Here is a 12,653-nt window from a genome sequence, read left to right as displayed (position 1 = left end):
GAGAGCAGAGTACAGAATCCCTCCAGATTACCTTAAGCAACCAAGCTGCTCCATCAGGGAAGAAAAAGCTCCATAGCAACAGGAAGCTGTGAGTCACCATAGCGATCCAGTTGCAAGGGAACCCCCTACCAAGAGGCAGGAAATTGTCAGCAGCATCATTAGAGCAACCAGGGAAGAAGCGACAGGAAACTATAAGGATTGCCGTGGTGAACCAGGAGGGTACAACAGGAAGCTGAGGCAGTTTCCATAGAAACCCAAGAAGAGCTAGAGAGAGAGGTACAGAGGAAGTGCTTCTTAGCAACAGGCTGTTGTAAGCATCACCCTAGCAACCAGATGGAAGGCTCTTTTAGCGGTGGGGAAGCTGTACATAGTTGTCATGGCAACTGGGCTTCTTGGCTAGAAAAAGGAATTGCTCAGCAGCAAGCAGCCTGAACATCACCACCATGACCGAGCTGTTGGGAGCCACCCCTTGAGAGGTGCCTCACCCAGGGAAATTTGCTTGACGTCCAGATCCCAGGCCTCCTCCTCGACGCGGGCAGGCAGGGAGCAGGCTCCCGGCGAAAGGCCGGGAAGGGAGGGGCCGGCATGCTCAAAGGATGACACGGCCACGGAGGCCCGGGTGCGGGCGGCTGCAGAGAGTGGGGAGTGGGGGGTGGGGTGCTGGTGTGGGAAAGCCCTCTTGGCTCCCTGGAATGACCCTCAGTCTCACAGAGGGCCTCCCAGCCAGTCCCACTGATTTGGGGACGAGATGCCTTTCCTGACTTTCCACCATACCTCCCCTTTGTATCCTCATTGTCAAGGTCTTCACTCCTGGGGGCCACCCCCCAGCACCCTGGCCCTCACCTCTTCCAGTGAGCAGGGCACTCAGCGTCCGCTCCCCAAGGGCTTTGATGTCCAGGAAGGGTTTATTCCCAATGCCCATGGACACCATCTGCTGCACTCGGAGCTCTGGGGAATAGGGACACTTGTTACCAACTTCTTCCTGCCCTTCTCTCTAGCCCTAGCATGTCATGGTTGATTTTTTTCTTTTTTTTTTTTTTTCGTTCCTTCCCAATCCTCATTCCTCCCTTTCATTCCTCTGATGTCTCTTTTTACTCCTTCTGTTGACTATCACAACATGGATGGCAATGATGGTGTGACTTCCTCCTCAGATATCTGGCTCTTCTCTCCAATATGTTGCATCCTGGCTGTTTGGCATCCCAGCTGCCTAATTTCTACTCTGCATCTTGGGCATTAAGAGCACATACACACACAAAAAACAAACCCTCACATTTTTACATACCTTTACAGTTTACAAGATGCTTCCATATATTTGACCTTACCTAATCATCCCTATTACACTAAGATGAAGACATTAGTATTTCATTTTTCAGATGAGCAGAATGAAGTTCAGAAAATTAAAACCAAGGTAAAGCCCAGCAAAAAAACAAAAATAAAAATAAAACTAACAAACAAAAAACTAGTCCAGGTCACACAGCAAGTAGCAGCAGTTCTTAAATCCAAGCGAGCAGTTTCTCACCTTTTTTCCCAGCCATTTGCTTTATTAAAAAATTTGAAAAAAAAAAATCCTTTAAAGACAGAGTCTTGCTCTGTCACTCAGGCTCAAGTACAGTGGCACCACCATAGCTCACTGTAGCCTTGAACGTTTGGGCTCAAGCGATCCTCCTACCTCACCCCTCAAATAGCTAGGACTATAGGTGCGTACTACCATGCCCAGTTAATTTTAAAATTTTTTGTGGAAACGGGGTCTCACTATGTGCCCAGGCTGGTCTTGAACACCTGGCCTCAAACAATCCTCCCACTTTGGCCTCCCAAAATGCGCTGGGATTACAGGCATGAGCCACTGCACCTGGCCCCTACTTGCTCTTGCTTCCCGGAAATTTGCCAGCTTTCTCTTTCTTTTTGGTATATCTTAGGCTCATTTCTACTTCAGTAATCTCTCAAGCCAAATCTTGAATCTTATTATAAGCCATTCTTTCTTCATCCTATAAACTGTTTTCCCAAGCAGTTCGCACACTCTCCAGAAAACTTCCTGCTATAACCCTGACTCCAAGCACCCCCTTCCTCAGCTCTGCCCAGTACCCTTGTTGTGGGCTGCCTGTCTCCACAGCAGCTGGGCAATAGAACTTGTCCACTTGAGTTTGATCTCTGGTGAGGTTGCCTGCAGAGTGTATGCCTCTCGTGCACGCCGCCGCCGAAACCACAACTCAAAGCAGAGTCCGCTGTCCCCGATGTTTTCTGTCAGCCCCATATCAGCAGTCTGAGGAAGAGCAGAGGGCAGCGGGTGAAGACAGAGTGAGTCCTGGCTGGGTGGCGCCACATGGCAAGCACTGGGCTTCGCCTGGCATCTGATAGATGTTCAGTAAACGTTTGCTCAACACCTATCACGTGCCAAGTGCTCTACGTTTAGTCTTCGTAACAAACATAATTTACAGAAGGGGAAATGAGGCCAGAAACATGAAGCAACTTCCACAAAGGCTTCTCACAGCTTATTAGAGCCGGAATTGGATCCAGGCCTTTTCCTCTATGCTATACTCTATGCTTACCCTCTGTGCAGGGGGTACAAAGTCTAGAAACCCTTAGAATCCATTCCACACTGCCTGATCCAGGACCATAGGTTGCTATAAATGCTTATCTGGATATCAAGGCTGTTTCCCTAAAGCAAGGCCTCCCTCTTCTTGGATTCTTTAGTCAAAGTATAGTGTGCTTTCTCCTCATGCCCTAGGAACCACCCCTAATTCCAAAGGCATGTGTGTCCTTAGTGGGAAAGTCCCTCTTCTAGTCTGGTTTGGAATGCCTCCTAAGTGTTCTGCATGAATGATAAGGAAAACCTCATGAGGTAGACCAAAGACAGGGACTTCTAACATCCCCTGACACCCTAACTCGATAGTCGATTACAAGCCAAAGCCTATTCTAGATGATGCAGATTCTGAACCTCTGTTGGGGCTGAATTTCCAGAACATCCTGAGTTCTCAAGAAGAGAATGACTTCCTGTCACCTCCACCACTCACTCCAGGAATCGTACCTTAAAGGCCTGCTTGTAAACAAACATCTCTGACCCCCCTTCAGGGCCCTTGAGCTTGCTGAACAGGAGGAGATGCTCGAAGAGAAAGACATGGCGAAGGCACTTCTTTCGGCCACAGATGACAGTGAAGGGGTCTCGATGCAAGAGCTGTCCCTGCTCCTTCAGATCTATCTGGAGAAAGGAAAAGGAAAAGTGGTTGGCCCAGGGGCCCTTTGTTTGTATTTTACAGGGAGCAAAAATAGATTTATAGGGCAAGTGGCCTAATGCACTGGTTCTCAGGTAGAGTCAGGAAGTCAGGGAAGCCCTCAGCCTAGGGTCCATCAACTGGTCACCATGCACAGTGCACCCAGCTGAGCAGCACAGCCCTGCCTCTGAAGACGGCAAGGTGCTCTGCATAGTAGGGTTTATAGCCACCTGTGGGGAAGCCTTTGCATGCTGGGGATCCAGGAAGAGAATCAGCAAAGAACTGAAAGGGAAATAGGTCTATTCCAGAGGAGGATACAGGATTCCAACATGTTCTGGAACCTCAGGGCTGGAAAAAGACTAGGTAGACGAGACAAGGTATGTGTTGGGTGTTGAGGTGCAGGAGGAAGTATGGGGTAGATGGGGAAAGATAACAATTAGGAAAGGAACAGGAGAGTACAAGGCAGATGTACGAACATGGGATGTTGGGAGGACATAGCTTCTTTATTTACAAATGAGGAAAGTGAAGTCCAGTGAAGTTCAGTGACTCAATCAAGGCCACCCAGCTGGTTAGAAATTAGAGCCTGGAGCCCTCTGACCTGGAGCCTGGTTCTCCTGTCACCAACCTACACGGCTTCTGAGGCCAGGGCTGGGCAGTTTGAGCAGCAGTGACTGGAGCTAGGGCCTCACCTCACAGCCACGCACCGCCTCCACGGCCAGCAGGTCTCTGCCACGGGCCTCTTGTTCCCGGAGCAGCTGTACAGCAGCCCCAAGGGCCCGGCACTCAGAACTGAGCTCAGGCCCAGCTTCCCTCAGGAGCTCCTCCAGGAGCCGCCCATACCGAGTCAGCTGTTCCAGAGGCTGCTGCAGGGCTCGGGGCAGGTAAGGGCCAGCCTCCATGGAGCCCTAGGTTGAGGACACAGACAGGGATGAGGGGAGGGGTGGAGCCTCTGGGGGCCAAGCTCAGGGGTTGGGGGGTAGGTGGGTGATACCCTAGGCTTTTGGGTATAGATGAAGCCCAGATGCTCCCTAAAGTAAGGCAAAACCATTCTCCCTGGAAAGAAAGCAGGTGGGGGCCTGCAGGCCAGCAATCACTGTCTATATCTTGAAGGGAAATGGAAGAAGAATCAAAATAGTAATCCCCTTTACTTTCTGGCTTTGAACTTTTCTTTTCTTTTCTTCTTTTCCCCTGAGATGGAGTCTTGCTCTGTCGCCCAGGCTGGAGTGCAGTGGCACAATCTCGGCTCACTGCAAGCTCCGCCTCCCAGGTTCACGCCATTCTTCTGCCTCAGCCTCCCGAGTAGCTGGGACTACAGGTGCCCGCCACCACGCCTGGCTAATTTTTTTTTTTTTTTTGTATTTCTAGTAGAGATGGGGTTTCACTATATTGGCCAGATAGTCTCAATCTCCTGACCTCGTGATCCACCCGCCTCGGCCTCCCAAAGTGCTGGGATTACAGGTGTGAGTCACCGCGCCCGGCCACTGCCTTTGAACTTTTAGTCACTTGTACGTCTTTTGATGTGAGCTCTTCTGATGCTTAGATCCTCCCTGTGAGCTGGCTATAGTGACTATTGCCCCCATTTACCAGCTGTGGAAATAGAGGCCCAGAGGAAACAGGAGTCCTGCCCAGTCCCTCAGGTGGACTGGATAAGAACCTGGCCTCACCAGTCCGGTGCTTGTCCCACCCTCGGCAATTCTAGGAGATGATTGGTAGGTGATGTTCCTGGGCATATCCAGTTTTTTGCCCTGAGGGATTTGTTGGGTGGGTTTTTAGGTCTTTCTGGCCTCTCTACTTTTCTCCTGAAGGTTGGAGAAAAAGTTACCTTGCTTAAGGGACTGAGCGCAGCCAGACCATTCTCCAGTTTGTGTCGGTGCTTCACGTACTGTGCATAAAGGCTGAACTGGTCCCCCTGTGCCAGTAAAGAACAGATAAGGAGTCCCCGGTGAGGCCGCTGCAGACAAGCCTCTCTCTTCCCCCTCTCTATCCTCTCTGTAGCCCAAATGAGGGATGGGTCACCAGGGAGCACTCAGCCTACCAGGGAGGGAAGGGCTCCCTGTGGAGAGAGCATAGTCCAGGCAGCTCTTGAGAGCAGGGCGCAGAGGCTGAGTAGAGGCAGAAGTGCCCACAGAACAGGGCTGGGCCCCAAGGTCATGGACCACACATGGGAGGAGAGGGCCGTGGGTACTGAGAAAGAGGGACAGATGGATGAGGCTGGAACAGAGAAGGGAGAGCACTTGGAAGAAGTTGAGGGGATCACTCACGTGGCGAAGGAAGCAGGCCCCAATGCGTAGGGGGTGGGTGGCGCAGCCCTGAAGCTCCCGCAGAAAGTGTGTCCGGTGGAAGCTGCGAAGCCTTTCCCGGGCACTCAGGGCAGCAGCCCAGGTGCCCCGAAGTTCAGGCGTCAGCTCAGGCCCAGGGGGTGGCACTGGCTCACTCAAGGTGGCCACGTAATCTTGTTCACAGGCAATCAGCTCAGACACCAGCCGCTGCTGGGCACTGCAGGCACAATAGGAGTGGCAGAGGAGGTGTGGGAGGGAGCCAGTACCCCCAACAATGTCATCTTCTTTTCCTACTGGGCAGTTGGCTCCGCCTCTTAGCACCAGTTGGGCTGGGATCTCACCTGATGCTTCGCTTGCGCTCCATCCGGGGGGTGCCTACTCCCCAGGGTCCGTCTGGCCCCCTAGCCCGGCCCAGCAGCACGTGTTCCCGTGGTGAGCACGTCCTGTCTACCACCTCAGTGCTGGTGACCTCCAGGCCTCGGATCAGCACAGCTCTTGGGGGCCTGCCCTCTGCTTCTGGAGCCAGCTCAGGGCCCTCTTCCTCATAGTCCTCTCCACATGGGGCCAGGGAGCAATGGGATGGGGCTGGCCGTGGCCCAGGGCTGCTGGGGAGCAGCAAGGAGCTGAGGCTGGGCGAGGGGCTGCGGGGCCCCCACTGGGCCCCTCCACTGCTGGCACCGTCTGCCCGCCGTCGTCGGTAGCCCCGTGGGCTCGCCTCCTCTCCCACGTGTTGCTGGATCCTCCTCTCTAGCTCTTGGCAGCGGGCCTGGCAGCGGCCCCATTCTCGCAGGGCTGCTGGGCTGCCCAGGTCCAGGGCCAGGGCCCGCATCTCCTGGAAGGTGCCGGCACTGGGCTCTGGGGCCCGCCGCAGGGCCAGTGCAGCCAGCACAGCCTCCCGACCCGGCCCAGCTCCTGCCAGCCGAGCAAAGCCCTCATCCACCCATTCATGTGCCTACGAAGTCAAAGGGGTTGGGGATGGGAGAGAAAGGGTAAGGGCCTGTGTTGCTCACGAAGGATGCCCAGTGACAGCCCTTGTCCTCTTGCCTGTGGCCTCCCAATGCCCGTCACTCTCCTGTTTTCTCACTGTTCCACCATCACTGCCTAACCATGTCACTCGGAGTTGGTATGGAGATGGAAGAGCCTATATAAAAGAATAACCGGTACTCATACGACATTTATGAGTGGCAGGCTCTGTGCTAAGGGCTTTTATGTATTGCCTCGTGTAATCCCCACAGCAGCCCTGTGAGGTAGATCTATGGAGGCACAGTCAGGTTTAGTATCTTGCCCCATGCCATTCAGCAAGGAGGTGGCAGAGCTAAGAGCAAAAACCTAGGAGATGGGCCCCTCAGCCTCCACTTTTAACAACTTGATTAGCCTCTCCAGGCAGAAAGGAAGTGAATAAATGGAAATGGGGGGGCACAGAAGGAAAAGGCTCTGCATGCACCTGCTGGAAGAAGCGCTGTAGCCGCAGGGCCCGATGGAGGCCACTCTCAACCTGCTCCAGCCGCTGTTCAAAGATATCCAGCACCTTCTGGGAGGTGGCATTCTCCTCCAGAGCCAGGGCCTCCCGTGCCTGGGCCAGGCGCTCCTGGAGAAGGGAGGCTGCGCTCAGACCTGGTCCTCACTCCTAGGTAGTCTCCCCCTGCCTCCTCTCACCTGCCCTCCAGCCCCTTCTCACCTGGACCTCAGCGCTGAAAGCACGGAATCGCAGCTCTGTCTCCTGCAGGGCAGACAAGGTGTCCCCAGGCATAGCAAAGCTTGCCAGCTGCTCCTCCCCTGGGCCCGAGAGCCACTGCAACACCTGAGGCAGATGGGGTGGGAGGGCAGGGGGTCATGGAGTGGAAAGGCAAGGAAGGGCTGAGATCCAGCATCAGCCCCACCACCCCAATCTATAGAACTTTGAGTGAACTATTGCATCTCATCTGCAATGTGGGAATGACAACAGTGAATGGTAATAGTTTCCACAAGGGTCAGATGAGAAACCGAGTAAGAAATCTTTGGTAAGGCAGATGAGAGGGAAGCTGGGCTGATGGGAAGCACTGAGGGAGTGGGTCAAAGTTCCAGGGCTATGTCCGAGGGTGAAGTACATCAAACTGGGGTGAACCAAAAGCAGGATGAGGGTCATAGGGATGACTGACGGCCTTCACCAAGCCTTGGCAACTGGTGAGAAACGGTCCCAGGGACCAAGCCTGGAGAAACAGTACAGAAGGGGTGTGTGTGTGTGTGTGTGTGTGTGTGTGTGTGTGTGTGTGTGTGTGTGTCCGGCTTTAATTTCCTAATATGAGGCTATATGAACTCTCATGCTGGTTCTGAGATGTTTGACCAGAACGGGATGGTAATATTTTCCTCTGAAGAAAGGCTGGAAGCTGGGGGTGGGACAGCCTGAGGATGAGAAGTCTGAGACTGTTCCTAATAGCCAGTGCCAACAATAACCACTTTTATAGTCCTTTGCTGAATTCACTTGATCTTTCTGACCACGTTGTGAGTTAATTGTTACCATCCGCATTCTATAGATGAGGACTTGGGAACTCAGAGGAGCTTCATGACTTGTCCAACATCTTACACATGGCAGAACTAGAACTCAAGCTGAGCACGTTAGACTCCAAATCTTGTTTTTAAACAGTTGGGGAAACAGCTAACAAGCAGGTAAGCAAACAGGAGGAGATGCAACCCATCTCTAGGATATTGGCTTAGAGGAAGCCAATATGAAGAAATCCTAGGAAACAGAAAGTCTTGGCCCCCGCTTTTGCACCGGCCCTGAGGTGACCTTTCCCCTGATGCCCACGTACAGGTCCATGAAGTGTCCATTCACCATGCTCGGGGCTAAGGAGGAACAATCAGATTTCAAAGCCCCCTCTACCCCACATGGTAGGGTGGAGAGCAAATCCCTATGGGGCTCTTAACCCCAGGAGAGAAGAATCAAGGTTCAGAGAAGCCAGCCTTATTCCTGAATCTTCCCCACAAAGAAGCCTGTAGTTCCTCTTAGGTGCTTTCAATGCTCTCTCCTTCCAAGGGAGAGGGAGGTGGGACCTTTCCGGCCTCAGGTCTGAGGGATGACATCGCATAAGGAGTTAAGGGTGTGTGTGTGGCAGTATAACTAATGAGCTGGTATCAATAGACTTTTATTATTTTTCAGCTAAGGTGGTAGGCACTCCAGAGTTGATCAGCTCTTCAGAATCCCCTAGGGCAGCTGAGCATCTCTCACAATCTCTCAGCATTTTCGATCAAGTGTAAACAGTGGGGAGGGGAAGATCTGGCTTTTCTTTACTGGTGCTATGATGCTCCCACCCTCTTGTTCAATCTCACACTGACCAACAAATGTGAGGAGGAGGGAGGGGCGTTCAACCAAGCCAGGCTAGAAGAACACCATCAACTATAAGTACCAACGGGAAAGGTGCTGGAGGCCACACTCCCAGGCTGAGTAAGAGGGACGTGGGGATCCTGGCTCACCTGCTGGAGTCGCCGCAGGCACTGCCGCTGCTCTTGCTGCTGCACGTGCAGGTTGGAGAGGCGCACAAGCTGGTGAATGGCCTCGTCCACTTCCTGATACAGTGTAGCTGGGCCTTGGCCCTCCAGCCTTGGGAAGGAGCAGAGAAGAATGAATCATTTCCCTTGTTGAGCCCCTCAATTCTGTCCTTCCGTGCCTCTGAGGGATGCAAACATGAGAGGTTGCATAGCAGCATGGATCAAAAGCATGGGCTGAACCCTGACTGCTTTGGTTTGAATCCTGACTCTTTACTGACCGATGTTGGCCAAGACAGTTAACATTTCTGATCCTCCAAATCCTCATTTGTAATAGTAAATGGCACATAAGGATGTTGTGAGGGTTATGAGACAGTAAGTGTAAAAGCATAGTATCTTGCCCAGATACATGCACAGTAAGAATGGTCTGGCAGCTAAGGTTTGTTGGCAGCCTTCAGCTGTGTCTCCACCTCCCACTTCCACCTGCCTCCGCACACCCATACTTCGTACTTGCTGCTGGGAGTGGAGCGCAGCCTCATCAGGATGGCCCCCCCATCCCTCTGCAGTGCCGTCAGCCGGGGATCTGCCAGCACCTTCTGCAGTGGCTTGGGCATTCCCACTGCCTCCTGGGGATAGGGAGGAGTTGCCAGTTGGGGTTCCACCAGAGAGTCTCCACCCCAGCCCCATCCCAATCCCATCCCCCCACTGTCCCATCTCATTTCATACCTCTTCCTCTGGCTCTGCTGCTCCCTCCAGCTCCTCAATGGCCTGCCGTACCGAGCCCAGCACACCTTGGCACAGGCGACATAGCCTTACCACTTCCTGAAACCCACATGCAGGGATGGAGTTGAGGATCAGAGTTTAAGAAGGAACTTAAGCCCTAGGGTTGGGGTGCGGTAGCCCCAGAGACTTTTATGGAGGCAATGCTGAATTCAGTTCCTGACTTTGTTGCTAACTAATTGTATGAGGTTGGGCAGGTTCAGAAACCTTCCTGAACTTCAGTTCCTCAACTGTAAAGTCAGGATAAGAAAGGCTTCTGTGATTTTTAAGGAGATGATGCCAGTTTAGCAACTAACGTGGGCCTGGCACATTGTACAGCTTGGTAACTGTGACCTTCCTGTCTGTCTTCAGTGGGGCTTCCCCCTGTCACACCCCCTCTCTCTGCCTATTCATGTCAATTTCCCCTTTGACACTAAAGGCGAAGCTTAGAGACCATCTACAGACCCCTCTTTCATACTCAGCTCAGATCATGTTTATTTCTCTCTTCTTGAATACTCACAACACTTATATTCATAGAATTACATGAGATAAGTGCTGGAAGGACCTTTAGCAATTATATTGTGATTGTTATACTGCGCTGATGAGGATCCTGAGGCCTGGATGTTGGTGCAAGGAGCGGATACAGAAAGGGCACTATTTCTGCAAGTGAGGTAAAGTAATTTGGAACAAGAACCAGCCTTTTGACTCTCAGTGCTTTCCAGAAACCCAATGACACTATCTTGCACTCTTCTCTACTTGTTTCATGATTTATCTCCCACCAAAAATCATACACTACTTAATGTCATATTAAGAATTTATTTGGCTGGGCATAGTCACTCATGCCTGTAATCTTAGCACTTCGGGAGGCTGAGACGGGTGGATCACTGGAGTCCAGGAGTTTGAGACCAGCCTGGGCAACATGGCAAAACCCCGTCTCTACAAAAAAAAAAAAAAAAAAAATACAAAAACTAGGTGGGTGTGGTGGCACATGCCTGTAGCCACAGCTACTCAAGAGGTTGACATGGGAGGATCGCCTGAGTCCAGAGGGTCGAGGCTGCAGTAAGCTGTGATCGAAGCATTGCACTCCAGCCTGGGTGACAGAGTGAGACTGTCTAAAAATAATAATTATAATAATTTATCATACTCCTCCTATCTCCCCAGTAGAACATGGCACAGTGCACATGTTTTCCTCATGATTTGGGAGCCATAAATACTTGTTGAATTGAATGGAATGGAAACCACTTTTTTGCAACCTCATGGTATGTCCTGGACATGGCCTCTCTCCTAGAATGTCTTCAGCTGGGTTATTCCTGGCTCCCAGCATGCTAGGTGGTAGAGGGGAAGCTTACCTGGTGTATCTCTACCCAGTGACTGGGAGAGGGGTCCCTGTGACCTCCTAACTCCCACTGCAGCTCCTCTGGCTTGGCCACTCTTTTCAGATCATTCTCTGACAGCACCTCAGCACCCTGTAGAGGGTAAGGCAGGGGGTTTCTTCCTGGGCACCCAAGGACTCAGAAACCAGCCTGGGGCTCCAGCCAGCCTCTTCTCCTCTCCCCACTACTGATGGGAAACTAGATGGGAATGAAGGGCTCAAACCTGAAATCCACAGAGTTCAGTTGGAAGGTCATCATGAATGAGAATCAGCAGCCGCTGAACAAGGGGAGGATCTCCTGAGTCCTAAGGGCAGAAAAGAATAACCCTAAACTGGGCAATCGGGTGTCCTGGACTGGCCACTGGTGAAGAGTTAGGATCCAGGGGAACTGCCTGTTTGAGGGGTGGTTACCTGAAGTTGGCTCAAGGCAGGAATGAGTGCTGGAGGCAGTGGAGGTGCCTGACGAAGGTCCAGCAGGACGGACAGCCCCAGTGTCTGTAGATCAGGCCTGCGGGAGCAGGAAGAGCCAAGGAGGCTGCTGTGTGTGTGTTTTGGGGGATAGCAGATAAGGCAAGGCAGACATACGGGGTCTGTTTTTAGTTAATAGTCCTGAGGAGAAATTAGTTGCCGGTACATTTGGGAAGAAATGGGCAAAGGGCCAAATTCTGGGGTGTGTGTACAAGAGGAAGTCACCTAGCAGTCAGGGGTCTATATTCATATGGCTACTAGGTCAAGGGATTAAGGTCTGGAAAATTAAGAATTCTGTTCTGAAATGGCGTGCATTCAATATCAGCCTGTAGTATGGTGCCTAATAGGTACTCAGTGCTCAATAAATGTTTGTTGAATCAGTGAACCAATGTCCTGATGATCTTGGTAGGGTTGGAAGAGAGTGAAAGTCAACAGTGTTGCTTTTGAAGATCAGTGAAGATATGAAGCTGGAGGTCAGGGTAAGTAAGGCCAAAGGTCAATGGCTTGAAGTCTGAAGGTTGAAGAAGTAGGTGTCCTTAGAGGTCAGAAGGTCAGTGTCCTGAGAAGAAGGAGGTGAGGGTCCTCATGAATCAGGAGGTTAGTGTCCAGGGTGCCAGGACTGGGCCTCGGTTACCTGAGCAGTGAGTGGAGGTAATGAAGAGTTGTGTTCAGCGTGTCTCGGGAGGGTGGGGGCTCCTCAGGAGGGCACGGTGGGGTAATGGTCAGCAGAGCTCGCCCACTCTGGTCCACCCCTCCTGAAGACACAAAATGGCCAGGCTGTCCTGGCTGGGAGCAGTCCATGCCTACCTCCTTTCCACCCTGCCTCCCCCAGTCCCCAAGCCCACCCAATTGCTTCTCTTTCCCAGTCCTGTTTCCCTTCACCCACTGATGCCCACTGACCCGTCAGGATGAGGAATCCAGATGCCATCAAGTCCCAAGCTACATCAGGGTGATCAGAGACGGAGACTGCAAGGGCCTCTTCTGGAATGTTGTCCCCTTTTCCTTCCTGCACAGTCTCCAGCGGAGGTGTTGGAGTGTCAGACAGGGGGCCTTCTGGGCCTGTGTGTCCTGCACAGACACAGACAGAAACATGGGACTGAAGTT

The 12,653-nt window shown here is 52.2% G+C and overlaps 1 protein-coding gene across 8 annotated transcripts in view, besides 5 other annotated features; it reads right to left on the bottom strand.

The window, feature by feature from the left end:
* The window catches only part of ARHGEF40 (Rho guanine nucleotide exchange factor 40), a 28,985-nt gene that overhangs the window by 2,300 nt on the left and 14,032 nt on the right, over positions 1-12,653 (bottom strand). For 3 of the 8 annotated variants that reach the window (XM_017021434.3, XM_011536937.4, NM_018071.5), the window contains 18 exons: positions 12,450-12,617; positions 12,184-12,304; positions 11,493-11,589; positions 11,306-11,386; positions 11,059-11,175; positions 9,677-9,772; positions 9,461-9,576; positions 8,939-9,065; positions 7,167-7,289; positions 6,933-7,076; positions 5,830-6,440; positions 5,471-5,705; positions 5,032-5,118; positions 3,899-4,114; positions 3,026-3,196; positions 2,083-2,260; positions 844-948; positions 486-629 (listed from right to left, as the gene is read on the bottom strand). In XM_017021434.3, coding sequence (XP_016876923.1) covers positions 486-629; positions 844-948; positions 2,083-2,260; positions 3,026-3,196; positions 3,899-4,114; positions 5,032-5,118; positions 5,471-5,705; positions 5,830-6,440; positions 6,933-7,076; positions 7,167-7,289; positions 8,939-9,065; positions 9,461-9,576; positions 9,677-9,772; positions 11,059-11,175; positions 11,306-11,386; positions 11,493-11,589; positions 12,184-12,304; positions 12,450-12,617 — 2,937 coding nt within the window. The other 5 variants (XM_047431564.1, XM_005267844.4, NM_001278529.2 and 2 more) reach the window with 4 other exon arrangements.
* Positions 77-619: an enhancer, noted in NCBI's record as "H3K4me1 hESC enhancer chr14:21555489-21556031 (GRCh37/hg19 assembly coordinates)". NCBI's record gives its function as "activates a minimal SCP1, AML or CMV promoter by ChIP-STARR-seq in naive H9 embryonic stem cells {active_cell/tissue: H9 hESC(naive)}" and the evidence as "EXISTENCE:reporter gene assay evidence [ECO:0000049][PMID:30033119]".
* Positions 175-324: an enhancer, noted in NCBI's record as "active region_8099". NCBI's record gives its function as "activates an Ori minimal core promoter by ATAC-STARR-seq in GM12878 lymphoblastoid cells {active_cell/tissue: GM12878}" and the evidence as "EXISTENCE:reporter gene assay evidence [ECO:0000049][PMID:35858748]".
* Positions 620-1,164: an enhancer, noted in NCBI's record as "H3K4me1 hESC enhancer chr14:21554944-21555488 (GRCh37/hg19 assembly coordinates)". NCBI's record gives its function as "activates a minimal SCP1, AML or CMV promoter by ChIP-STARR-seq in naive H9 embryonic stem cells {active_cell/tissue: H9 hESC(naive)}" and the evidence as "EXISTENCE:reporter gene assay evidence [ECO:0000049][PMID:30033119]".
* Positions 2,101-3,300: an enhancer, noted in NCBI's record as "BRD4-independent group 4 enhancer chr14:21552808-21554007 (GRCh37/hg19 assembly coordinates)". NCBI's record gives its function as "activates an origin of replication core promoter dependent on BRD2, P300/CBP, MED14 and CDK7 cofactors, and independent of BRD4, by STARR-seq in HCT116 cells {active_cell/tissue: HCT116}" and the evidence as "EXISTENCE:reporter gene assay evidence [ECO:0000049][PMID:35650434]".
* Positions 4,259-5,458: an enhancer, noted in NCBI's record as "CDK7 strongly-dependent group 2 enhancer chr14:21550650-21551849 (GRCh37/hg19 assembly coordinates)". NCBI's record gives its function as "activates an origin of replication core promoter dependent on BRD2, BRD4, P300/CBP, MED14 and CDK7 cofactors, with strong dependence on CDK7, by STARR-seq in HCT116 cells {active_cell/tissue: HCT116}" and the evidence as "EXISTENCE:reporter gene assay evidence [ECO:0000049][PMID:35650434]".

Source organism: Homo sapiens, chromosome 14 (assembly GCF_000001405.40).
Source record: "Homo sapiens chromosome 14, GRCh38.p14 Primary Assembly".
Taxonomy (NCBI): Eukaryota; Metazoa; Chordata; class Mammalia; order Primates; family Hominidae; genus Homo; species Homo sapiens.
The sequence above is the reverse complement of the archived record's forward strand: the minus strand, read 5'-3'. Positions and strand labels throughout refer to the sequence as shown.